Raw genomic sequence first — 27,656 nt, forward strand, 5'->3', positions numbered from 1 at the left:
TTCCTGGTCTTAGGTAAACTTGGCCTTAAAGATCATGAAACTATAGTGCATTTTCCTTAAAAGAGTGATTTCAATGTCGCAACATCATCTTGACTACAAAAGCAGAGGTTGAAGTTAAAGTTCTGCCACTGAAATCTGAGTGACCCTTTGCCAGACAGAAGGAACACATTGATTTGAAGCTCCCAATATCAGGAGAAAGTTGTTTCAGCTTCCAAAGATCTATAGGCAGGCAGGTGCTTTTCAAATATTTTATAATACTATATATTAAAATTATCTTTTTAGGGGGGTATGGAGAAGTATTTACCACTCATCTCTTCTAAACAGTCAATTTTTTCACCCTCAGAATGTGTTCTAAAGAAAAAGTGACAGGTGATAGCATTCTGAAATAAAGTTTACACTATGAATGTTTCTGTTAATTTGTCTTACCACTTTTGACATCTATTAAAAGATTGAACTAATATTTTGGGACATGGACATGCAAAGGGGAGGGAATCATAGTTGGAGAGAGAATATTAATAAACAGGATCTTGAGTTCTTAAGCAACAATCCCATCCCAGAGGGTTTTTTAAAAAGTTATAGCTGAAAGGTCACTTTAAATCTTATCCTTGAAGACATTAAGTGAGAAGGATCAAGGGCTTGCTAGACTTTTCTAATAGGCCAGATTGTCACTAGAAGTGAAATAGATCAAGCCATGAACAAAATGATTTACACAAATCCGAAGAAACCTGTTTTCGCTTTAAATTACCTGCATAGTTTTTATAAAATGTCTCTTATCCAGTTTGAATTTCCTCAGATTTCTATTTTACTTTTTCAGTAACATATGATTATCTTTATTATTCAATTTGTTATTGCTATGTAGACTTCAGTGATTTCTTCTTTTAAAAGTTTATAATTTGTCAATATTCTCTACATTTAACAAAATAATTGAAGTTTTAAAAATTATTTTCATTAAGAAAATAAAAATGCAATGTGACTTGAACATTCCAGACTGACCAAAATTGTTTATTGATTTATTGTTTTAAGAATGTTTGTTGATTCATGGTAGATAATAAAGAATGGTGCTTGGATTTGAGATTGTCAATATTTTATTCTTCTCATCTAGAGCAGCAGACACTTTGTTTGTGTGGTATGAATTCAATTCAGAGAAAAACTGAAGATGTATAAAAATTCAGGGAGTTGCTCAGTCTTGAACCGTCCAGATTGCTTTGTTTTCCTGAATGATGGTAAACAGATCTGGAGAGTTTGTCATGGGTGTGATTAAAATAAGTTTCCAGCCAGTCTTCCTAAACAATGCTTGTTCTGTAAAGAAAAAGGGAAAATGAATTAGATATTGATTGCATCTTTTCAGAAAGAAAACTCAGGAGGAAATAATGTGAAGTGTAAGACAATAAAAAGCGCAAAGTGAACCAGCACTTACAAGATGAGCCAATTCCTAGTTGTAAGAACCTGGTTGCAAGTGCTTGAATTTGGACTGTTATAACACGGTTTTCTAGAGCAGAAACTGTTAAAAACTACTTTGGTTATCCAAAAAACGTTTGCCTGTGCTTTTATTAGTGTTCTGTTCCAATTAAATTAATTAACTAGTCTCTGGTTTGTTGAGTCTCCACTGCATAATTGCAGTACAGTCACAAAGATAGAATTTATGAATGGAAGCAAAAACCTCATAGGTTTTTGCTTATATCTCGTACAAAAATGCTCTATTTCTGAATAACCCATTTCAAGGCATTAATATTTTCTAATTAATATAAATATCTCGTAATTAAGAACCAATATTAATCTATAGCATATAAACTGAAGCTGTCAAGTTTTAAAAAACACAATATCAAGAAATCCTTAAATATTAAAGAGGGAACTGGTATATACCTTGAGAGCTCCATTCAGATAGACATGATGTGCTTGACAAAAGCTGTAGGAGCAAAATAGACAAAATAGACAATTTAGAGTTAGGAAACAGTCAAATTTAATAAAAGAGAGGTTTAATGAGTTAGCTCAATCCTATTTTTAGCTGTAACAATAGTTTCTTTTCTTTTGTATTTAAGGTGTGTATAGCTCATAATTCTTAGTAGTGGATTTATGACCTTTGCCCTGATTTTGCAAATTAATTTTTTGAATAAGTGGTACATTCACATACATTTTTATTTTTAACATAGGGTCTCATTGTGTTGTCAAGGCTTGACTCAAACTCCTGGGCTCAAGCAATCCTCCTGCTTTAGCCTCCCAAGCAGCTGGGACTACGGGCACATGTCACTGTGCCCAGCTATGGTTAAAATATTTTCTTTAACGTATGAAAGGGTATATAACAACAAAATGTTTCCCATCACTGTCTGCTAGGCAACTGGTTCCCCTTTTTACTGCTAAATTGACAGAGCTGTTTATGCATATACAAGACCACATAAATATGTTTCTAAAAATCTTTTTACACAAAAAATGGCATACTCTATACATTGTTTTGTATTCCTTTTTTCAATTAATAATTTATCTTACAGATATTATAACTGTACACAAGAGTGTCCCTATTTTTTAGGGCTGCAGAGAATTTCACATTGATACATTGATAGACATTCGATTGTTTTCACATTGATACATTGATGAAATTATACTTTGATGGACATTAAATTGTTAAAAAAATTTGGCAGTTATGAACAGCACAGTAATGAATAACCATCTATATATGGTCATCTCATTTGAGTGAAAGTATATCTAGAGACTAAGTCTCTCCAGAAGTAGATTTGCTGCAATTAGTAGTACCACACCATAACCTAGGGGTTTTAACAACATGCATTCCCATCAGTGATACATGAAATTGCCTGTTTCCACACCCTCTCCTCAGCCCAAAGTGTGCCCAAACATTTAATCTTTGGCAATCAGCTTATTGAAAAATGATATCTCAGTGTAGTTTTATATTATTATTATTATTTGAGATGGAGTCTTGCTCTGCCACCCAGGCTGGAGTGCAGTAACGCGATCTTCACTCACTGCAAACTCCACCTCCCGGGTTCAAGCGATTCTCGTGCCTCAGCCTTCTGAGTAGCTGGGACTACAGGCTACTGTGTGCCATCACGCCCAGCTAATTTTTGTATTTTTAGTAGAGACAGGGTTTCACCATGCTGGCCAGTCTGGTCTGGAACTCCTGACTTCAAGTGATCTACCTACCTGGGCCTCCCAAACTGCTGGATTTACAGGCGTGAGCCACCACGCCCAGCTGTCAGTGTAGTTTTAATTTGCTTTTTAAAAATTATTAATGTAGTTTGTCATCTTATTTTATTCATTTTATTTCCTATGAATTGTCTGTTCATGTACTTGCTAATTTTCTATTGGATATGATCTTTTATTAATTTGTAGTAGTTCTTTTTTATTAGGAAAATTAGCTCTTTCTGGTATTAATTGAATTTTTTTTTTTTCTGGTTTGCTGTCTTTTGACTTTGCTTTGGTGGCTTTTGCCATATAGATTTTTTAAAGTATGTGATTAAATTTGTCAAGATTTTCAATGCCGTCTGGTTTTTGTGTCACTGTTAGAAAAAACGTAACCACTCCAAAGTTATAAAATTAATTCTTCTGTGATTTTTGTGCTCTTTATGTTTTTAGCTTTTACATTTCACATGTAAATTATTTGAAATTTGTCTTGGCATAAAATTCAGATTTGACTTTATTTTCTAGATGACTGTCCACTTGTTCAAACAGTATTTATTGAATGATTCTCTATGGAGTGTATTTACGGTAATAGCCAAATGTGAAGAATTGTCGACGGGGAAAAAAGTGAAGTTTAATCAAGATTGTCAGTGAAGATATGCTTGGCTAAGCCCTTTCTTTTTGTCCTCTTCTCCCTCCTTTCCTTTCTTCTCCTTTCTTCCCCTCTCATTCTCTTCTCTTCTTTGTTTTTCTCTTTTTGTCTTTATTTATATGTAACTTGATTCATTCTCTTTGGGGATAGAAACATTTTTAAATTTTCTTACAAATTAAAAAATTTTTAAATTTGTAAATTATATTATGCATCTTTGTTTTCTGTAGTGCATTGCTTTCACACCCTCTGGGTGAAGCTGCTGTAAATTGGTAGTAGGAATTAAACAATTGGCAACTGTGGGCTGACTTTCATGTAAGCAAGAACACTAGACAAGGAAAAGAAGTAAATTTTACCACCAGCCTGGCCATTAGTGATTTGACCTTCACCAAGTAACTAAACCTATTTGGCCCGAAGTTTCATTTTCATAATTGCTTCATATTAGTAAATGACTTTGAGATTTCTTCAAGTTTAATATTCTATTAAATTTGATTCTGACATCAGCCCTGTCTAACTCATAGGGATGTTCTGAAGATCTAACAAAAAATATATGTGAAAACACATTTTTAGCTTTAAAACAATGCACAGTATTGCTAAAACACACTGGAATAAATGTTATTTATATGTTCAGATCCTCACATATCTTTTTAGAGTTATGCAATTGATTGTCATATGTATGTCAATAAGGAAGGAAGAGGAAAAGAAGCTCAAAAGGAGCCCATCATCAATCTGATCAGTTAAGAGTTGCTGTAACCACCAGTGAGCATTGATTCTACCTTCGTAGTTGATGCAGCCATTGGAGTCTTCTTGACCTGCCATCAGGGCTTCCACTTCTTCCTCTTTCATCTTTTCACCTGATGAAACAAAACTCTCCTTTCAGAAAGAAGGCCATGTGTTATTTTCAAAATCCACCATAGGTCATCAGTCAAGGGCTCTGGAGACTAAACTCTTGACATATAGGAACTGTGACTTTCCCATTCTTTTGGTACTTAATATATTGTCAACTAATTGGTTTTTGAATGAGTTAATTAAATACACATTATCTGTTGTCATACAAAGTGTCCTGTAAGAACTACCATGCTTTCCTTTACTTATTCATTACCAATATTTTAAGTTAACATTTTCACCAAACTCACTGCCACTGAGGCCAATTGAAATGGTCATTAACTTTTGACTATTTTTTTTTCCCATTTTCCCTTTGTAGTCTTTCCTCCTATTTTGGTAGTGACATGATTCTCCTGTCATGTTCTTTTCTATATATTCTGTCTCACTAAGTCCACTGAAATAAATTCCCTTACCCAGGGTGGCTAGAACATGGCGGAGTTCAGCACCCATGACTGTGCCATTGCCTTCCTTGTCAAAGACACGCAGACCCTCAACAAAGTCTTCATAGGTGGCCTGGTCCTTGTTGTTGGAAATGGCTTGCATCATAGGCAGAAATTGTTCAAACTCAATTTTCTTGGCATTCAGCTCTGTAAGAAATTGCAATTTTGAGGGTTATTAGCTACCATAATACTAACTCTGAGTCACAATTTAAACTTGAAAAGTTATTCTAGGTTATCTGAAAAACCTTCACACAGCTTAAATTTCAGCTGGTAAATTGCTAAAATATCAAGAATATGGTAATAGTTAATGGCATGAGGTCTGGAATTGCAGTTCCTGAGCTTTTATTCCCAGTCTACCATTTGCAACTCTGACAGTGCTCTAGTTAACCTTTTTGTGCCTCAAGTTATCATCTGTAAAATAGAGATAACTAATAGTGTTATTGTGAGAACTAAATGAGCTAATGAATGCAAAGTTTAATAGAATATCTAGTATAAACTGAGTGCTTAATAAGTGTTAGCTTTTTTTTAGTATTGTCCATTTAATATTTCCCATAAATACTTGCAAGCAATAGAAAAATGCACTGAGATACAACAAACTCATTAGTGGATTAATACAGTAAAACTTAGCTTTAGTATATATTCCACCTTTGTCCCCAGCTTTTTGAGGGCCTTCCCGTTCTTTAAATCCTTTCTTTAAATTTTAAGTAATTTAAGCAGTTTACAAGGAGAGAGTGTGTGTCAAATATTTTGTGATCTTCTGACTTCTTTGTACCTTAGAGGCCAGGAGATGATAGGACTTTATTATCTTCTGACAAGGTAAATCTTATTCATGGAAAATCTGGACAGTCTATTTTATACTATCCAGTTGTATACAAATGGGTAAAGTTATGTATTCACCAAATCAAATTTTTTTTACTACTTGTCTATATTTCTATTACACGCAATTTATATTTTTACACTGAAATTACATTGAGTAATATTTAAAAAATTAAATTTGAATGCTGAATAAATGAGTATTTTACCAAATAATTGTATTAAAGATAGATGTTGCTAAGTTGGAAAGTGACATTTAAAGGTTTCAGCCAGGTGCAGTGGCTCACACCTGTAACATCACCACTTTGGGAAGCCGAGGCAGGTGGACTCCTTGAGCTCAGGAGTTTGAGACCAGCCTGGGCAACATGGCAAGACCCCATCCCTACAAAAAAAACAAAAACAAAACCAAAAAAGGCCAGGCATGGTGATACATGCCTGTAGTCCCCAGCTACTTGGGAAGCTGAGGTGGGAGGATTGCTTGAGCCTGGGAGGTGGAGGTTGTTGTGAGCCAAGATCATGCCACTGCACTCTAGCCTGGAGGACAGTGTGAGACCCTATCGCAAATAAATCAATTAAAAAAATTAAAATTAGGTTTGGCTGGGTGTGGTGGCTCACGCCTATAATCCCAGCACTTTGGGAGGCTAAGGCAGGATTGCTTGAGCCTGGGAGGTTAAGGCTTGCAGTGGGCTATGATCATGCCACTGCATTCCCACCTGGGTGACAGAGTGAGACCCTGCCTCAGAAAAAAAAAAAAAAAAAGAAAGAAAGAAAAAATAAAAATAGGGTTTGCCCTATTGCTTGCTCACTTTATCTCATGCTCTTGGCTTTTCTACATGATGTAATTGGAAATTTCCTTCCAAAGAAAATGAAGTAAGCAGGCTGATTTTGAGTTTTCCTGAAATCAAGTTTTCTTCTAACAAAGGAAGGTCACCAAAGAATTTTCAACTGTCAAGGGAAAGAAAAAGATTATTTGTTATCTCATACCCCTCTCTCTGTTTCCTAATGGCAAAGATAAACAGCCTGAATATCTACTTGAAAAACTTCAGTTTTGTATCTCTTTCAAAAATTATTTTCGATTGACACATACTAATTGTATGTATTTACGGGGTAAAGTGTGATATTTGGATACATGTGTATAATGTGTAATGATCAAATAAGGATAAATAGCATACTGATCATCTCAAACACTTATCATTTCTTTGTATTGGGAACATTCAAGATCAACTCTTTCAGCTATTTGAAAATGAATTGTTGCTAGTATAGTCATCCTATAGTGCTTTAGAACACTAGAACTATTCCTCCAATCTAGTTATAATTTTGTATTCATTTACTGACCTCTGGCTATGTCTTATTCCCTCCTCTCTTCGTTAAAGATAGATGTTTGGTAAGTTGGGAAGTGGCATTTAAAAATAAGGTTTCTGTTGGGCGCAGTGGCTCACGCTTATAAACCCAGCACTTTGGGAGGCCGAGGCGGGCAGATGCTTGAGCTCAGGAGTTCGAGACCAGCCTGGGCAACATGGCAAGGTCCTATCTCTACAAAACAAACTAAAACAAAACAAAAAGTAGCTGGGTGTGGTGGTGCACATCTGTAGTCTTAGTTACTCAGGAGGGACTAGAGCACTAGAATTTATTCAGAACCCTGGAATTTATTCATCCAATCTAGCTATACTTTGGTATTTATTAACCAACTTCTGGCTATCTCTTATTCCTTCCACCCTTTCCTGTCTCTAGAAAGCACTACTTTCCACTTCTCCAGATCAAAATTTTTTAGATTCTACATATGAGTGAGAACATGTAGACTTATCTTTCCATCCCTGGCTCATTTTACTTAACATGATGTCTTCCAAGCTCATCCATCTTGCAGCAAATAATAAAATTTCATTTTTTATGGTTAAATAGTATTCCATTGTGTGTGTGTGTGTGTGTGTGTGTACATATATATATATATATATACATATATATAAAATATTTTCTTTATCCATTCATCTGTTGATGGACATTTATGTTGATTCCATATCTTGGGCATCGTAAATAGTGTTGCAGTAAGCATGAGAATACAGACTTTTTTTGACATGTTGATTTCCTTTTCTTTAGAAATATACCCAGTGATGGGATTGCTGGATCATATAATAGTTCTATTTTTAGTTTTTTGATAAACCGTACTATTTTCCACAATGGTTGCACTTACATTCTCAGCAACAGTATATAAAAGTTCCCCTTTCTCTGCATCTTCCACAGCATTTATTTTTTGTCTTTTTAATAATGACCATTCTAAGTGGGTAAGATGGCGTTTCATTGTGGTTTTTAATTTGCATTTCCCTGGTAATTAGTGATATTGAGCATTTTAAAATACATCTGTTGGCCATTTGTATATCTTCTTTTGAAGGATGTCTATTCAGTTCATTTGCCCATTTTTTTATTGGATTATTCGTGGGTTTTTTTTTTTGGCTGTTGAGTTTCTTACATATTTTGGATATTAATCCCTTGTCAAACAACTTGCAAATGTGTCTTGTCTTTTTTGTTTGTTTTGAGTATCATTTTCCATTAGACTATTATACTTTTCAATAAAACCATTGGGATTAAAAATAATTTCCTTATTCTAGAATAATGACTGGATTTCTGGATTGAGTAAATGACTTCTGCAATTTTGCCACTAACATTTATCACTGATTTTTTTCCTAGGATTATCCTTGTGCTCTGTCCTTTGACACCCTGCTTCTGTCCACTCATAGAAGCAGTGTGTCAAAGGACAGAGCACATGGCAGTCAGCATGTATTTTTCAGTTGCTTGACAAAGTTGCAATTTCATTTCCACAGCTTTTATCAGAGGAGAACTTCTCTAGAACTGTGCCACTGGAATTTACTCAGAATTGTTTATAAAGTGTTTTAAATCATATTTAACATCTTTGCCAAAATGTGTTTTTGCCTTTGAAGATTTGAAGTCTGAAAAAATGTGCAGATTTGGATATTATTTCATTACATTAGCCTTTAATTATGAACATTCGAAATGATATTAGCATTAGGTATTATTTCTAATATCTAATGCTTAACATTAGATATTAGCATGACATTTTACCACGCTTGCAAATTCTCAAAGGAAGTTTAACTTATTTTATAAAGCAAAAAGCTGAGACTTTCTATGGCCAAGAGGCACACTTACCACAATCAAGAATAAACTGAGCCCTATTATGTGAAACATTTTTAAATCAATCTTTCTCTCTCTCACACACACACATACTACACACACACACATACTACACACACACACACACACACACACACACTGCTACACACTTCCCTATACTTCCACACTTCTTGGAAAAATTGATGGGTTACCTTCATTGCTGGGGTTTCCCAGAACTTTCCTGACCTCTGCATTGGTGGGATTTGTGCCCAGAGCTCGAAGGACATCACCGACCTGGCTTAAGGTGATCTTGGAATCACCTGTTCTGTCAAACAGGAGAAATGCCTCCTTGAATTCTGCAAAAAGCAAGAAGCATTAGAGTGCTCTTTTCTTCCTCTAACCTATTAATTAAACCTAACCTTATCAAAAATTCAGTTCAAACTCTTCAGTTTTACAACTTCTGCCAACTATGCAAGTTGTTATCCTGGATTCTCTTTTTGTATCTCCAAATATCATTGGCAAAAACTTAGCATTTCTTTTCAGGGTTATTTTAAAACAGCATTTCCAACTTTAAGTTGCCTGTTATTGTTAATCAGATATGGAAATTGGAGCTCCTAGTCATATTCATATTTCCTTTACCTGCCTGGAAACCTGGATTGGGTTAAAAAATTCTAAGGCCTTGAGAAACTTTAATAATCTCTCATATAATTAACAAGATTAACAAAATTTCAGAAAGAACAAATTTTCAATCAGGCTCATGGTATGTGAGGTTAACTCAAACTTTTCAAATTATGTAGAAAAACCTCCTCTTGGGTACAAATTTCCTAGGTTATCCCTTTAACCAGCTTTCTCCAGGAATAACTTTATTTTTCAGGAAAAATTTAGAAAGGTGAGACAAATCTATACATTCTATAGTTTATTAACTAATGTGTGACTCTATTAGGCTCCTCGTATAATCAGTTCAGAAGGAGAAATATTTGTTTTGGTATGTTGCTGTGATAATCTCTTTATACTTTACCCTTTTATCAAATAATACATATGACATATGTTGCTATATCAGCTTTAGAATTTCGCTATGCCTTGTAATTACAATTTTATGGAGAAAATTGTAGATTCACATGCAGTTCTAAGAAATGATACAGAAAGATCTCTTGTATGCTCTGCCCGGTATCTTCCAGTAGTAACATTTTGCAAAATTATATTATCATAACCAAGATATTCACATTGGTAGACGCCATCAATTTTAGTCACATTTTCCCAGTTTGCTCGATTCATTGTGTGTACGTGTATGTATTAAGTATACACAGCCATTCCCATTCTTTTATGAATACATATTTTAAAGTGTTCTCTATTCTAATTATAATCATTGTATTGATGACTTTCTCTAAATTTAATCATTCTCTTTTGATAGAACTGGTTTGACTTTCAAAATTATAGTGACAAAAAATTTAGAAATGTATATCAAAGACAGAAAGGGTGTCTTTGGTGGATCTGGGGGCCAGTACAACCATTTTAATTAGAACTTATAAACTAGATTACATTTTCTGGGAAACCCAAAAGTACTGCTGATGACTTCCAGTTAATATCAACAATACTCAAAAAATCATTTGTGAATAAATTGGTAGAAGTGAAAGCATTTTTTTAGGCTATCAGTGGTTTCAGATCAAAAGGTGCTGTCTAGATAGATTACTCAGCAAAGTATTCCATCTTGCTATTCCTCCCTCCCCTAATCTAACATCGCACTGACATTATATTCACAATTCACTACAGATCATGTTACCATTATTTGTTAAAACTTCCCCCTCGAATTCTATGCAATTTGACTACAGATCAATTCCCTAAGCTAAAAAACTTGCTGCAGGCACTGAGAAGTCATTAGTCAAATATTATTTTTCATCTTTCTAAGGGACATGTGAAACTGAACTATTCTTGTTACTGGCTTCAGGCTTTCATGGACAGACTGCTCAGCAGGCTCACTATTACCCTGGTCAGATGCCGAAGTAGAAATAGGATTTTATGGGCTGTAATAGAATCACTGTGACATTAACACTTTTGGTGATTTAAAGGCAGAGACCAGAAAGACACTATTTTATTACCCCAGATTTTTAACCCAAAGTTTAGTTATTCTCTTGAAGAATTAATACCAGGGCTGGTTATACTATTTTCCAGGGGCTGGTTGCCTGTTTCTTTTTAATAAAATTTGATTCGGATACAGCCATTCCCATTCTTTTATGAATTGTCTATGGCTTTCTTCACACCTCAGTGACAGAGTGGAGTTGTTTTTACAGAGTCTATACTGGCAGCAAAGCCTAACGTATTTACTATTTGGCCTTTTAAGAAAAAGTTCGCTAACTTCTGGTCTATAACAGTATTGTTCTAGAACTTTTTGGTAATAATGGAATTGTTGTCATTCTGGGCTGCCCAAAAAGGTGGCTATTAACTGTTGCTCTTGAACACTAAAATGTGACTAGTGCAAGTGAGGAAAATGGATTTTAAATTTTATTTTTAATTAATTAAAGTTTAAATAGCCACATGTGGCTAGTGTCTACTGGAGAGCACAAGACTTAGACCTTTAGAATGTTGTCATTTTCCAGTTTTTGCACCCTTTCCTTCAATCCTGTGATAGATTCCAATAGAGCAGCCATGAACAAAATTCTTTAACCACTAAACAAGGAAACAAACTAAAGAATGCTTTCATTTAAGAAACTATAGTTTTTCCACATAATTTAAAATGCTTACATTTGTTTTCCTGCCACAAAGAAAACAGTATACTACACCCATGTTTGCTGAACTTCTGTGTCTAAAATCTATTTCACAGATGGAATAAAAGGTTTAATGCTCAACGTTAAATCATTGAGTCCTTGCAAGGGTTTTTAAGTCTTCCATTGCTTGATCCTACAATAGTTTTGTCACAACAATTGTAAATTAGCTATTTGAGAGGACTGGGATGCAGTAGGTGACAATGTAGCAGCATCACTAGTTAAAATGCATTAAAAATCAAACAAATTATGGTAGAATCACCAACTGTTTTCAATGAGAAAAAAGTCCTTCATAGTATAATTTCAAATAATCTTGAGTTATGGGTCACCATATCATCTAATCTGTCTACATGAGGCCATCAACCATGATACAGATGCATGTGAGTCTGTACTACAGTAAATATCCCTTTTTCTCAATTTATGTTCAAATATGAACTATTTCAGATGCAGAAATAGACTTGAAGAATGTGGAATCCTTTAGGTAGAGAACTGAGTATTTGAATAGGTTCTTATTAATCACCTATAATTATAATTATTTATATTTTCATATCTAATATATGTAATATAGACATACTACTTATGACCAATATTCTAATTTATACAATATTTTGAAGCTAATTTTTTCTCCTCCTTCCATCTATAGGTTTATTTGTGTCTCAGTTCACTTAGATATGTGACTCTTTCACTCCATAAAACATTCCTCCCTGCACTTGCTAATGAAAACATCAAGCTCCTGTGGAGTATGGGATCTGTTGGATCCAAAGACCCAAAGGTGAAAAGGTTGACTTTTTAGGGAAACTATTCAGATTCTCTTGAATCTTAAGAGTTTGGAGTCTCCTAGCTAGTAATTGTTTTTATAAAATAAATTTGTAATCAACTTAAACTAATGTCAGATTTTGCTCCTATCACTAATTCTTTGAGTCATTGAGAAAGTCCTGTCACCTCTCTGGAGTCTGTCTTGCATATCTCAGGGAGGGGTTAAACCAGGAGACATTTAATGTTCCTTCTACAGTTCTATGATAAATTAATCCTTCTTCTTTGTTTCTGAATTCATTTTTGTTCTACAACTCACTATGTTATCCATTGAAATGATATAGGTTTAGTAATTGGGCAGTTTTGTAATCAATTTTGTTTTTCAAATTGACAATTCAGACTTGTCAAATCTCTCTTTAAGGATTATATTAGCAATTTAGCCATCTAAAATCTACATCTTTTTGGGATATATATATATATGTATGGTATTATCTATTGTATCAAATTGGTTTTATTTAGATATCAGCAAATATAAGGGCCTATTTGTGGTGCTTATCTTTTGTTTGTTAAACCTTTGATTACTGAGTATCAGCAAGGGTTTCAGATTGAGCTAATTTATATTTAGAGTGATCGAGAGCAATTTATATTCAGAATGGCAACACCAGTGGGGATAATTAGGAAGAGCTAAACTCATCCCAAGGGAGTTGGTTTTCACACATGCCATCTTTATGAGTGTGCACATTTAAGAACCATAGCTTTTAAACTTACCATCCTGCTGTTCCTTAGAGAACTCGATCTGTTAGAAAGAAATTGACCACAAAGAATGTTTTAACCAAACAAAAATGTGCTGATTTTTAGTTGTATCCAGCTCATTCCCTGAGTAATCTTCAAAGTAAGCTCCAAAAGTCAGCCTACTTTTCAGAGTTCAGGCGTAGCTTGGACACTAACAGGTTAAGCCATAGTGTAACATGCCTTGAAGATAAGTAATATTGCAGAAACTAGGCAGTGCTGTGCCTACATCTGTAGCAGACAAACTCAATTCACTTACCAGCAATCTGGTCAGCACTGAAGGACTGCAGTGGCGAAGAAGAGAAAGAAAGAAAAAAAACTAGTACTCTTTCAAATGCATTGACAGAAGAATGAGTGCTGGTTGCTCTGAGATTTTTAGGAAGCTATGTAGGTGTCTTGGCATTAGAAGGTTGCCTTAGGATACTTTTGAATCTAGGAACATAAAAAGCTATTGCAAAAGATAATTAGGGAATATCTTTCTGCATCTTAATGATTTAACTAAATGCTACATTTAATACTTCCTAGAAAAATAATCTATAGTATATTTAAGATATGTCTAATAAGATACACGGTGTTAAAGTACAGATATACACATTAAAAAGACTACCTTAAGTCTGTCTTCTATTTAACCAGTGCTTAAAAAAATAGTACACAAAACCCAATGCATCAAAAGCAGTTTACTTAGTTTTAGCTATCAGCATCACTGGATTGTATTTTAATGTATAATATTTTGCTGTAGCTACAGGTTTTTTTCTTCTAAATTTAGATATAATGAATCTTATGTGATACAGCAAGAGTTGGTGAAGCATAAAGCACAGCTCTTGGAAGATGTATTTTTCCAGCTGATAAACAGCTCTAATTATTTTCTCCTATCTTTAATGGATCTCAACAAAACCCAAAAGTAGATACTAAAGACTCATATTGAATATGTTCTCTCCTCAGTTCCATTTTTGCCTATCTTTCTTCTCAATAAGATCATATCCTCTATCTATTTTCTCCTATAAATGACAAATTATTGTCTCATAGGACCCACCATGATGGAGCGGCTGGGCTGCAACACAGCAGGGAAGCTGAAGAGTGAGTTGAGGGCTGCTCCGGTCCCTGAGTGGGGTCATCCCTGGCTGAGGCTTCCTTTTATTTCTGGGCAAGCTTTGACCTCACAGCTAGCATCAGGTTTCAGAGATAAGTTGCCACACCCCTTGGAGAGTTCTTTAGCTTTCTTAGGGCAAAGGGAAAGATGGATCTGTACCCTGAGAGCTATTTTTAGATGACCAGAACCTTGGAGTAGACAGCCATAGTGAGATGGAAGCCTGCCGGTACTTTTATGGTCTTTATTTCCAAGATGTTCTCTTGGAGCATCTTCCTTTAAGAAGCTTCCTATTTGTTTGATGGCAGAAGAGCTTAGAATTTCTTTAAGGTCTTGGGCCAGACCCTTCTCTTGATGACAGTGGACTTTACAAACTTCTAGTCAGCAAGTTTTGGTATTAATGCAAGTTTTTGGATGGGACTGGTTTGGGGTTTCAAATGGCAACTGCTATAGCAGGAGCATCCTCTGAAGTGTACTGTCCTTTATGGTAAAGTTCAGAGGACTTGAAAAGGCCATGCACATTCTGCATGTTTCTTAGAGCGCACCCAAGTGACAATCTGGTCAGGTCTTTCAATCTCCAATTAAAGATCACTCTTTTGCAAGCATAATCTAAGCCAGGAATAGTTTTGATCTCCGCTTTTCATCATTCTCCTTTAGTCTCCTTACGTTAGGTCTGGTTATTTTCTTCCCTCCTTGTTATCTTTATAATGGCTGAGTAGTCATTTTTTTTATTTTCAGAAGTTTTTCTAGGCAGGAAAGCTGATAGATCATTTTTACATTCTTTTACTCTCATCCTATACATTTTTTTTAACTACACATAAGTTCTTACTAGATCATGCTGTTTCTATTTCTACTTCTGCCTTGGCAAACACTCTATGGCTCAGTCCCTAGACCAAGAAGCCAAAAGAATGCATGGCAGAGCTTGTGGAATACAAAATTGTACTTTATTTTATTTTATTATTTTTGAGACAGAGTCTTGCTCTGTCACCCTGGCTGGAGTGCAATGGCACAATCACAGCTCACTGCAGCCTTGAACTCCTGGGCTCAAGTGATCTTCCCACCCCAGACTCCTGAGTAGGTAGGACTGCAGGCATGTGCCACTGCACCTGACTAATTTTTATTTTGACTTTTTGTAGATACAGGGTCTCGTTATGTTGCCCAGGCTAGTTTGGACTCTTGGCCTCAAGCCATCATCCTGCCCATTGTTGAGATTACAGGCATGAGTCACCTTGTCCAACCAAAACTGTATTTTAGAATTTTAAAGGTATCTAGGGGATTGGCCAGCAATGGGTTTTCATGGTAGCTTACCTGAAAATAGCGGGCAACTCCCTTCTGGAAATGGTACTGGGAAAAGTGGTACAGGAAAAGATCCTCCTAGGATGTCCACTAAAGTTCACACAAAATATTTATCAGTTTTCTACATGTTTAAAGCAGCTCACAGGCATAATGTATATTGGAGATTAATTGTAACTTGAGTACTGCTTCAGCAACTGTTTTTAGGGGGATGGTCACAAAAAACATGAAGTCTTCCCTTCTAGAAAGACATATACTTTGTAACTTCTCCTGAAACCATTTCAGAAGAAATCAGCATTTAATATGCATATCACTTTTGGCTCTAAGTTTATAAGTAGGAAAAAATATCTCATAGAATCTTGAGTTCCAAAATGAAGATTGAAAATACAATTTTAAAATTATTAGTACACAGGTAAACATTTTCGTAAATAGCTTGACATTTTGAAAGGTTATTGGGAAATGAAATTTAATAGAAAAATAAAAAATGCTTTGAATCATTGGGGGAAATGGAAGGGAAAGACAAAGGTGGAAATGTGTAACTTTGAATATTACAAGATTTGGAATCTTATAATTTTTGACATAAATGAAAGCATCAGAGCCTACCATGTTATCTTTGTGTTCTTTTTTAGTTTTGTAATTATATTTATGTAATTATGTTATTAAATTTGAATCATCTTATGATTATTGAGAACTAGCATATATCATTAGTTGAGCTAATAACTATAAATAATACAAAATTAACCATCAAAATTGCCCTACTAAACATAATTATTTTCATATTTAATAATTTTTTTCAGGTAAAAAAGTGTCCTTGCCTAGATATAAAATATGGTTAATTTATGTAAAATCTATTGAGTAAACTGGAAAGTAAGTTTAAAAGTTGTATTTAGGGCTGGGTGTGGTGGCTCATGCCTGTAATCCTAGCACTTTGGGAGGCCGAGGCGGGCGGATCACCTGAGGTTGGGGGTTCAAGACCAGCCTGACCAATATGGAGAAACCCTGTCTCTACTAAAAATACAAAATTAGCCAGCAGTGGTGGAGCATGCCTGTAATCCCAGCTACTGGGGAGGCTGAGGAAGGAGAATTGCTTAAACTCTGGAGGTGGACGTTGCGGTGAGCTGAGATCGTGCCATTGCACTCCAACCTGGGCAGCAAGAATGAAACTCCCTCACAAAAAAAAAATAAATTAAAAAAATGAAAGTTGTATTTATGCCAGGTGTGGTGGCTCATGCGTGTAATCCCAGCACTTTGGGAGGCCTAGGTGGGCAGATTACTTGAGACCAGGAGTTTGAGACCAGCCTGGCCAACATGGTGAAACCCCACCTCTACTAAAAATACAAGAATTATCTGAGCCTGGTGACATACGCCCATAGTCGCAGCTACTCAGGAGGCTGAGGCAAGAGAATCACTTGAATCCGGGAGGTGGAGGTTGCAGTGAGCTGAGATCGCGCCATTGTACCCCAGCCTGGGCTACAGAGCAAGACTCCATCTCAAAAAAAAAAAAAAAAAGTTGAATTTATGTTATGAATAAGCTATTTCTAATGACTTGGATACTATAAAGTTTGTTATTATTATAATAGAAGCAGTTAAGTGGTATGCAGTTGTTAACTGTTTCACCCTAGTCTTTCTCCATACCTTTATCACATAGAGAATGCATTTAGATTTTTTTGGTACTTACTGAGAATCAACATAAATATTTGAGCACTTTATGTGACAACAGTAGGGAAGGCTACAGTATAGTCTAGAGAAAAAACTGTAGTTTAAAAACTAGAAGACCTAGATTCTGTGCTCATAGAATAAATGGGAAATCCAATTTTTTTCCTCTGGCACACTTTTTTTTTTTTTTGAGATGGAGTTTCGCTCTTGTTGCCCAGGCTGGAGTAAAATGGCGTGATCTCGGCTCACTGCAACCTCTGCCTCCCAGGTTCAAGCGATTCTTCTGTCTGGCTTACTTTTATAAATGACAAAACTTATCTTCTCTCTCTTCCTTGGGGTTATCATGATGGGGTAATCAGTCCTTTGAACAAAGGTAAATTAATTGTATAATATGAATACACAATGTCAGCTGGTTTTGGCTTCAGTTCTCTATGTCATCAATTAGTTTTAAAGATCAGATTTACCTTTCTTCTCTCTGGAATGCTCTCCTCTCATTGCTTCTTTTTAGAAATTAAATATGCAACAAGCCCTGATAACATTTGTTTCCCTTGAAAGAAACGTTTTCTCTCTGTTTCCCCCAGTATTCAACATCACCCAGCTCTTCATCCCACTGAAAATTTTTTAACCTTCCTGATTGTAAACTGGGAAGCGTAGGCCATTCCCGAAGTCATTTGTTCCTGATGTGGACCTGGATGTGAGCCTACCCCAACCTGTCTCCGATAGAGCACTTCCCTTGCCTTATTCTTACGGTTTATCCCTCTGTAACTCTCTATAGAATACCTTGCCTATATTTGAAGCTCAATAGATTTTCATTAAGTTAAAATTATTAGAACATGTATATCCTAAGCTCCCCCTTCAAATATAAACTTCTCCTCTAGAATGTTGTGTACCCTGAGGGAAAAGACTTCACCTGCTCAAAGTTAGCATGTTCATTTTGAATTATTGTTTATGTACCTTTATATTTGTAGCACCTTCCTTTAGATTTTATATCAATGTTTTTGACCTGGACTTCTAATTTTCCAATCCCCAATTTGTTCTTTTTAAGGCTCTTTTATATTCTAGCCTACATATTTGCTTAGACTCTTAGTAAACTAGTTACATTCCACGTTTTTATGATTCGTGCTATCAATTGATGTCGGATTTAGGTAACAGTAGTCTACAACATACTGCTACTAAAAATTTTTTATTACAATGTTTACAAATTCTTTTTTACTTTGAGAAGCATCTTTCTAATAGTAATAATGAGATTAAATTAACTAATTAAACATCAGATAATGTATATATTAGGTTGGTGCAAAAGTAATTGCGGCTTTGCCATTACTTTTGTACCAACCTAACAAAGAATTGAGTTATAGAAAAAATATTAAAACGCTGTTAATCAAACAGGCTCTGGAACTGATGTAGGTTAAGCCTTAGTAAAAGAAGAAGAGCTATAATTAAAGATAATTGGGGAGACATGTAATGTCGAATACTGGGGGAAAATGCCCTGGGAAGGAACATGGACTACATTCTTCAAAGAACTTGATGGTCCTTGCAACATACAATGGGGATTAATGACTAGAAAGGCTAAATAAAGAAGCTAATATAATCAGGGCCAGTTTTCAATCAAAGAAAACACTGCTGTGTGCTCTCTGATTTAACGCCTGGCAGAGAGACCAAAGACCTGGATGTATATAAATCCTTAAACTTTACCTAATTTTCACTCCAATCTCACAGAGTTTCTAGGAACCACCATAAAAGGCCAGGAAAAGCACTATTTTGGAAGTCTTAGGAGTTCTGTGCTTCAGAATAACTCAAGTCGAAGGAAATAAATATTTTTGCATTTTTGACTTCAACATAGGATATACTTAGGCTAATATATATATATATATATATATATATATATATATATATATATTCTAGTCACTATAATATGGTATAAACAGGGGAAATTAAGAGTATTGAGAATATGGTACCAGCCCAGTTTCTGCAATATAAGAGAGATTAGGTGGTTAGATTGCATAAATTGATCTGGTCTGAGATAAAATCCTTAATTTTGTGCTATGAAGTCCTAGATCAGTCAACTGAATTCAGTCACATAAGAGCAAAAACTCAACTATTAAAACAAAACAATTCAGACCTACAGGAACTAAGAGAGGTCTAAGTGAATTTTAATAAAAATCTAGAAGCACAACCTGTTATACTTTTTCAGTTTTCTCATTAGCTTTCTCATGATTAATAATTGGTAAAGAAATTTAAAGTTTCTTGAGAGCTGGCCATACTTTTGTCTCCTTTGTGCATTTGTTTGCATGTAATTTCTTAAAAACCTACGTTGTGTTTTTGTTCATTATTTTAAAAAATTCTTTGTGTGTGTGTTTTAAGACATAAATATCTGCTTCTTCCTATTTGTCTGGAATAAAAGTTCCTTTTGTGACCGCAGGGATAAGAATATTGGCATTGCTGTCCTGGAGACTTCAAGAACTTGTGGAAAGAGAGCCAGATTGGGAATTTTGTTTTAGCTTTCTTATCATAAATCATGTGTCTTTTGATGAAATAACTTCTCTCATCTAGGCTATAGTTTCTTCAGTAGAAAATATTCTACTGCACGATTTCTAGGATTCCTTATGTTTCTACAATGTTGTGAGTTTTCTATCCTTTTGTCAGTAGAATCTACTTCAACTCACTCATTTTAATGGGAAAGGAAGGATGCCTAAAAATTCAAAGGTAATATTAGTCTGAAGTAATTTAGATAAACAAAACATAACTTCATAACACCATGTTCAAGCCAGTTGGATTTTTTTATAAACAGGAGACATATGCCACGGGGCATTTACTAGGTACTTTATCACAGTGAAAGGAAGAGTATAAAGTTGATAAGATGTAGTTATATCTTTAGGGATACTTTTCTTCTCTGGCTTCACTTCACTGTTATTAATTTGTGACCAGAATAGCCAGAATTTATCATCCATATAATATACCTTTTAACTAGTATAATTGAAGCCATTTCTACTTTTATATTGTAATTTTTGCCCTTCAAATTCTGCTTTGAGGTAAGAAACAAGCTGTAGAAGTTGATATAGAAACAAATCACAGAAGATCTTGTTTTTATATGAAAAGTATTTCAGTCTGAAGAGCAGCAGAAGAAAGTGTAGTATCAGCAGACTAAATATAATCCTTTCCACCATGAGTCAGATGGTGCTTAATACTAGGTAATTATGGAATGAGTTCTAAAAACAACTTGCCAGGGGTTCATTTGCAGCACTAAAATGCCGAGAGCTAAATTTGGCACAGTCACTTTATGGTCTCTTTGTCTTGCAAATATTTAGTTTTACTTAAAAGTGTTATTCACTATTAATTGGTGAACATATCTCTTCTTTTCAAAGCTGCATTTTCCTTTCAAAGACATTATCCATCAAAATATAATTCTAGAGAAAATTACAAAATGCCCTTTAATATTTTCCCACTTCTCTCCACCTGTTCTCTTCTGTTACAGCATAGACAGACATTTGAAAGAGGAAATGTGATACTGATACCTAGTGATAGTGTCAAGTAATTTCTGATTTGCTCCTGAGGTTATATTTACACTGCAAATGGATTAATATTGCAATTGGCTAACATTACAGTTGTATTAAAAATTAATTTGAACTATTAAAAGGCCAGAGTAAAAGAAAACAAACTTTTAAGATTATGTAAAGAAAAGTTAGAAACAACCTATACATATTTTTACCTGTGTTTTTCGAATTAGAAATTGATTACATGTGTTCTTTTACTCAGAGTAGTTAGGGTTAAGGTTTTATCATATTGTACATGTGGCATTGTATTTCTGCATACCATCCCAAAGAATATAGGTTGGGATTTCCAGTTTAAATAATGCTGTTTATTTGTAAACAAAATAGAGATCTCATACCCTCCTTAGAATATTAGCCTGATAGCAAAAATTGAAGGTCATATTTGATGTATGTGTGTTTAATTAAACAAAACCAAAATTACTAAAAAAACTCAGTTTCATTATATCTAATAGCATTTGAAAAATATCCATTTTCCATTTACAACATCTTATAGGAAGACGGAACAAAATGGGCAGGAATATTTCTAGATTCCTGATATTTCACCCTCCTTCTGCAGAACAAAACACCCAAGTTGTCAGGTGCTAAGATAGGGAAAAGCTATGGAGAACAGAATAGTAGTGAACAGTCAAGGTCAAAAGTCTTGGTGAACTTGCTCTGATGTGTCTGTCATCCCCTCTTCTGGTTACACAGGACTGTGCAGGGCAATATAAAAACCACTCTACCTCATACCCTTAAGAGTAAAAAGGGCTCCTTTACACATTCTTAGAAACAGCAACTTACTTTTTATAAATAAGGGTGGTAGTTTTGGATATGGTTAACACAGTTGACTCTGGATTTTGCTTGCTAAGTTAAACCCTAGGTCCATCACTTAACTACTTATTTGATCATATGTATAGCACTTACCCTCTTTTAAGCTCAGTTTCTTTACTTCTAAATTGTGGATACAATAACTTCAGTGTAATATTGTGAGGATTAAATAAGATAACATGGCAAAGAGCAAATTCACAATGAATATTGGTTATTGTTACAAAAAGCTTTATAGATTTCAGAGCCTTTCGTGGAGCATGACTTCATTTGATTTTTCTCAGAAATTCTTCTAAAGGAAACTGGATTTATATTAGCTTTGTTGGAAATGAGAAAAAAGAACTTACAGATGAACAAAAGTAATCCTATACCTGGGCCAAAACAAATTGGGTGCCACAATGCGTATAAAACTATCTGCCTCCACTGAATACCCATCAGTAAGTAAATGTATTTGGGAACATTAGATTTCTACCTTACATATTAAATTGAAAGTTTAAATCTTCCCAGGCATGTGGTCAATTGTTGATGCAAAATTCGTTATTTGATAGTTTCTGTCAATGCATTCTGTACCTTTACCACGTTTTATAATATCGCTCACAATATCTAGTCACGGCTGACCTGATTAAGTGGTGAATACGAGAATTAAAACTCAAACAGCACAGTGAGAGACATGATTCACAATCCTATCACCTCACAGCAATACTGACATATAATGCATGCATCATGCAGAAAATTCACTTACACATTGAAGATCTACAATCTAGGTACATGGTTATGTTATTACTTTCATTATTTTGCTTGGTTGCAGTTTTGAGCAATGCATATTCTTGTTTTTGAACCTACAACCATACTTATGCTGTGTTTTAATTCCTGTAACTGTGATTCTCTTAGGCTGTGTTCTTTTGTTCTGGATTACTGGGAGTATTAGCTCTCTGAAGGCAAAGAGTGCTTAGAACCACCAAGGACAATAACTTTAGTGTTCAAATATCAACAGTATTTTGTTGTTGAAAAGGGTACTCATAGAAAATCCATTAGGATTGGACATCAAGTAAGCATTCCTTCAGAGAGTATCATAAAATTTGTGTCAGAACAATTGAAGAAATGTTGTAAACTAATAACTAACAAACCAGGAAATCAGATTGGAAAGCACATTTAAGCAGTTGATAAAACTAATTAATTATATTCAAGATTATTCAAGATTTATGGGGGAATCAAATATATGGCTATTAAATGTAGTATATTACAATATGAAACATAGATATTAGCTGGGAATACTATGGAGAAATTAAATTTTACCATGGCTATGACTATAGTACTACACAAAGGCAGTTATGATTAAACTACAGCATTACTCAAAGTCTAGAGGACAGCTAAGTTTCTAATCTTTTTTGATTTATGAAAGAAAGTTTATAATCCAATTAAGTTTTGTTCTTTATTGAATTTTCAGAAAGTTAATGAATACATATAACAGCTCTATTAATTTCTTTAAAGTTCATTTTCTCTGCTTGAAAAAATTGTATAGCTTTTATGAGGTAATATATCTAGAAACATTATTAAGTGATTAAAAACATCATAATATAAAATGTTTTAATGTATGTTTTAATTAGGCCTGTTACCTCCTGGGATAAAATTAAAGTTTATAAAATTCTTGAGTTGTATCACTTTCTTTGGCCATGCTAGAATACATCTAAATATGCACTGATTTATTTCATATTAATGAATGCAAAGCATTGAAGATATTTACATTTCTTTACAAAAGTGTGTTAGTTTCCATTTGTTTCTCTTTTTTTTCTCTGTTGCAAATGGGCCTTCTGGATGGAAGATAAAGGTTATTTTTTTTCCTGTTTCTTCCAGATTCATTTAACTTCTTTTTGATTTGTGTCCCTTACTAGAATCCATCACATCTCTTGTTCTGCAATGAAATAATAAAGATGGAGCATACCCAATTCTCATAGAGACACTCCAGGGGTATTTCCTTCTTTTGCTTAGTTGTATAAGCTTATATTGTATCCTCACAATATTACACAATATTAAGCTTGTACAACTCAATTTAACATATTGACAGACGAATGTCAATATGTCAATTTAACATATTGACAGAATAATAAACAAATTTTCAAGATTCTGAAAAGTGTTGCTTCTCTGCTGACTATGAACAAGTAATTGGCTTAATTTCTGGATTAGAAAAGAGATGTTTTGTCTTTTCTTGGAGATCTCTCACCTGCCAAACAATTTTTATTTATGTACTCATTCTTACACAGTTCCTCAGGGAAGAAAATTAATGCCTGTTTTCATTAGTTAGATACTTCATTTGCTTCTTAGGTAAAGAGGTACATTTTCTTTTCTTTACAGAAGTTTGTAATACCAGATACAAACAGGTAACATTGTCTTATAAATCACAATAAATAAAGGACTAGCTTTGACACTGATTCATATCTCTTATGTTACTACAGAGTGCAGAGTTAAAGATGAGGGACAATCAGAATTACTATCATGGCTATGATCTCACTTATTGTGTAATGTAGACAGTATGCATCTATAAAGGATACATTAACTAGGATTGCTGGAGATGAAAAATTTGGTTTCCTCTTAAAGAACTGTATGCATGCAGTCCTCAAGTTAGAAAAACATTTATCAGAAGACCTGACATGCATTTTTTTGTCCTCCTAAATGGATATCCATTAAGAATAGTTCTTAATATTATATTCCATGACCAATTTTTTTCAAATACTTCAAATACCTACAAACTAAAGATTAAATATTCGTGATAATTTACTTATACTTTAAACAAAATTTCATGTTTAATTGGAATGTTATATAAATTATAAATATATTTAACTTCATTACATAATGTCTAAGGGTGATCTAACTAAATATTTTTGGGACTTAAAAAATTCTATAGTTATATTAAATGGTCAATGAAATGTTTGTTTATGGGTCAGCATCATAGTTACAAGTAAACAATGGTAAATTGGCAAAATTGAGATTTATTACATATACAACTTTTGGCTTAAGTGAAAAGTTCACCTCATGGGTACTATTGCTCATTGATTTTCCATATAAGGCAGGTTTCCTTAGATAAAAATTTTCAAGTTGTAATATGAGCCAATCAGAACTCAGTGAATGAAGAGAAGGTGCACATTTAATGAGTCACATCACTGGAAGTTAACAGACGTACCTATTTTTCCAAAAGCAGATAATCTTTTGGCAATTGAGAACTTTGATCACAGCAAAGTGTTAACACAATAATTAATCACATTTTTCTTAGTCCAAGATCAGTAGGCAAATACTCTAAGACATAAGCTAAAAGCCATGTAAATAACAAATTTTATAATTATTTTTGTTAGTTTCATTTAGAAGAAACTCACAAATTCTGAATTAAATACTGTGTATAAATAAACAAGATGACAGTTACAGTCACTGAAACACTTGAGTGCATAATTTTCTGCACTGAGATCTCATTTAGTGTTGTATCAAATTTTATTAGGCAAAGCTGAAGGGAGAATTAACTTGAATTGCAAAAAATCTTCTTTTTCAGAAGAAGGAAAGTAACTGTCAAATACATAAAGGACAACCGGGCCATCAGCTGTTTTTAAACTTCTGGAAATAAGTAGGGGCTAAAACGTTCCTTTTGATGTAATTTGTAAGTAAGGGATCTGGTTTCCAGAGAGATTTTATTTAAACCCAAACACTGGTTTAAATATTCTTAAATGCAACACTGTTAAGCATATATACTTTTCTCCTAAACAGTATAAGTGCAATTTAGGAGAAAATGGAAACTTGAGAATAAAAAATAGAGCAAGCACAGGCTTCACATATGATACCATACTCTAATAATTTTTGAAATTATATGCTGGCATTCATTTTTTAAAGCAGGATTCTCTTCTTCATAATCTACCAGCTCACTAAATAATGCTATTCCTCTCAATGAAAAATACACGCCTTTGCAAGTTCCTAGAGATCCTTACTATTGAAAGATGTTTCAGTGACCAAACAGTTCATCCATTTAGTTACCTTAATGGCAGAGAGGTCAATTTTTTCTTCTTTGGGTTTGGCTGGGGCAGGGGCAGGTGCAGGTGCCGGTGCCGGGGCTGGGGCAGCCGCAGCCGCAGCCACAGGTTTCTTCACGTCTTTCTTTGGTGCCATTTTTTTTTTTAAAAGGGTGGGTTAAAAAGAGAAGGAGTTCCTCCAAAAGAACCTGTCAAAATGATTCTTGGAAGAGGAGTGGTGGTTGGGTTGATCCACAGCCCAGTGTCTTGAAGATGGACCCAGAGTGTTAAACGGCATAAGGGCATGCATATATATTTCACTTAGTGCCTAATAGAATCTTGACACATGCGGCTGGATTGGACAGTTCTCTAGTCAAGGGGGATGGCATTCCGGCTCAGACTATAAATGGAATCTAAAGGGTCAGGGCTTCATCAATTTTTTTTAACTCTCTTTCCTTTTTTTCTCCCCCCCCCACCTCCATATATAAAGGAGAAAGATATATGACAAAGCCAGCTTCAGATCCTTTGGTGACAGTGAGGTAGATTGACTGTACTTTTTCTTGGTAGAATTACAGTTCTGCTGAAGTTGTAAATCTTTTTTTCCCACCTTGCCTAAGAGACTTTACTGAAGGATTCCATTTCAACTTGGAATTTTGGCAGGGAGTATCACCAACTTTCACACAGCTCCTTTGCTCATGCTCCTCCCCCCTTGCCATAATTTGCAAGGAAATGTTGGTCAGCAAAGAGGTGGTGGTGGTTAAAAATAAAAAAGCAGACGTATAAGGAAAGCCCATCATGTCTTAAAGTGGCTTCCCTTCTAGGGAGCACAGACTCTGGCACTCTTTCTCTCCTTTAATTGTAGTGAATTCTATGCCAAAAAACTTCAACATGACTTCCTATAATTTAATTTTCTTTGTATAATTTAATGAAGCATATCAAATGGATGGAAATGACAGCAAGATTTACCTTCTTGCAAAACAACTTTTCTAATAGTAAAGTAGCTTCCAAGAAAAGTAGATACTTATAGATATTTATTTTCTAAATGGTGTAAAGTCTAATTATTTATCACATAAATCTTTTGTCCATACTAGAGAGACAAAATACATTTTTAGAGACATAAAGAGAGAGAAGAACTTTAATTATCAACACTGTGCAAGTTGTGGTAACTTGAAAGTTTTTCCTTTTCTGTCCTTGGTTTCCTCAGTTTGCAAGGCTAGACTCATATCGAGAAATTTAAGACCACCAATGGGCACTTTATAACTTTGTATGTGGTAAATTCTGCCAGAGAGGGGGTTACAATTAGTAATCAGTTATTTCTCAGTCCCACTCTCATCTCTGTTGTTTTAACTTGTGAGATATTTAATTAATGAGTAGTTATTAACCAGTTTAAAAAAATAGTTTGGGTTTTAAAAGAGCACATTTATACATTTTATATATATAAAGGATATATATACAAACACACATATGTTTACTGTATGTGTATATATACATATATACATTTACTGTATGTGTGTATATATACATCCATACATGTGTACAAATGTATGTGTAAATACACACATATTCTAATTGTTAAATATAGTTGTGTTTAAAGATACAGATTAATTAGCCACTTTCTTGGGTCTGATATAAAAGCATTCACCAACTTGGAGAAGGTCACTATTTCTGTCCATATATTACAACTAAGCAAGATTAAGACTCTCAGATCAGAAATAATTCACCTAAGTTACAATTGACCCACAGTTAATCAGTCTCCTTTTTCACATGGTGGCACGATCTACTGAATTATATTATCCATGTATATTACAGGAAAAACATTTTGATAGCTCCCTCCTTTGTTTCCCCATATCAAGGACTCAATCATTATCTAAATTTAGCTGCTGATACTCATTTTTTACATACAGGACAGTCAGAAGAATCTGAACATATTTTACCTAGA

General features: G+C 34.4%; 1 protein-coding gene across 2 annotated transcripts; it reads right to left on the bottom strand.

The window, feature by feature from the left end:
- Positions 1 to 981: 981 nt before the first annotated feature.
- MYL1 (myosin light chain 1) lies at positions 982 to 26,006 on the bottom strand. Of its 2 annotated transcripts, none has more exons than NM_079420.3 (7): positions 25,743 to 26,006; positions 13,320 to 13,347; positions 9,252 to 9,395; positions 5,077 to 5,250; positions 4,555 to 4,632; positions 1,864 to 1,906; positions 982 to 1,299 (listed from the first exon to the last, which is right to left on the bottom strand). In NM_079420.3, the coding sequence occupies exons 1-6, from the start codon at positions 25,872 to 25,874 to the stop codon at positions 1,878 to 1,880; spliced, it is 585 nt and encodes a 194-aa protein (NP_524144.1). In that variant the 5' UTR covers positions 25,875 to 26,006; the 3' UTR covers positions 982 to 1,299; positions 1,864 to 1,877. The 2 variants fall into 2 exon arrangements, with proteins under 2 accessions (NP_524144.1, NP_524146.1); NM_079422.3 differs by lacking the exons at positions 13,320 to 13,347; positions 25,743 to 26,006 and adding exons at positions 13,600 to 13,624; positions 14,374 to 14,447.
- Positions 26,007 to 27,656: the final 1,650 nt, after the last annotated feature.

This window comes from Homo sapiens, chromosome 2 (assembly GCF_000001405.40).
Source record: "Homo sapiens chromosome 2, GRCh38.p14 Primary Assembly".
NCBI lineage: Eukaryota > Metazoa > Chordata > Mammalia > Primates > Hominidae > Homo > Homo sapiens.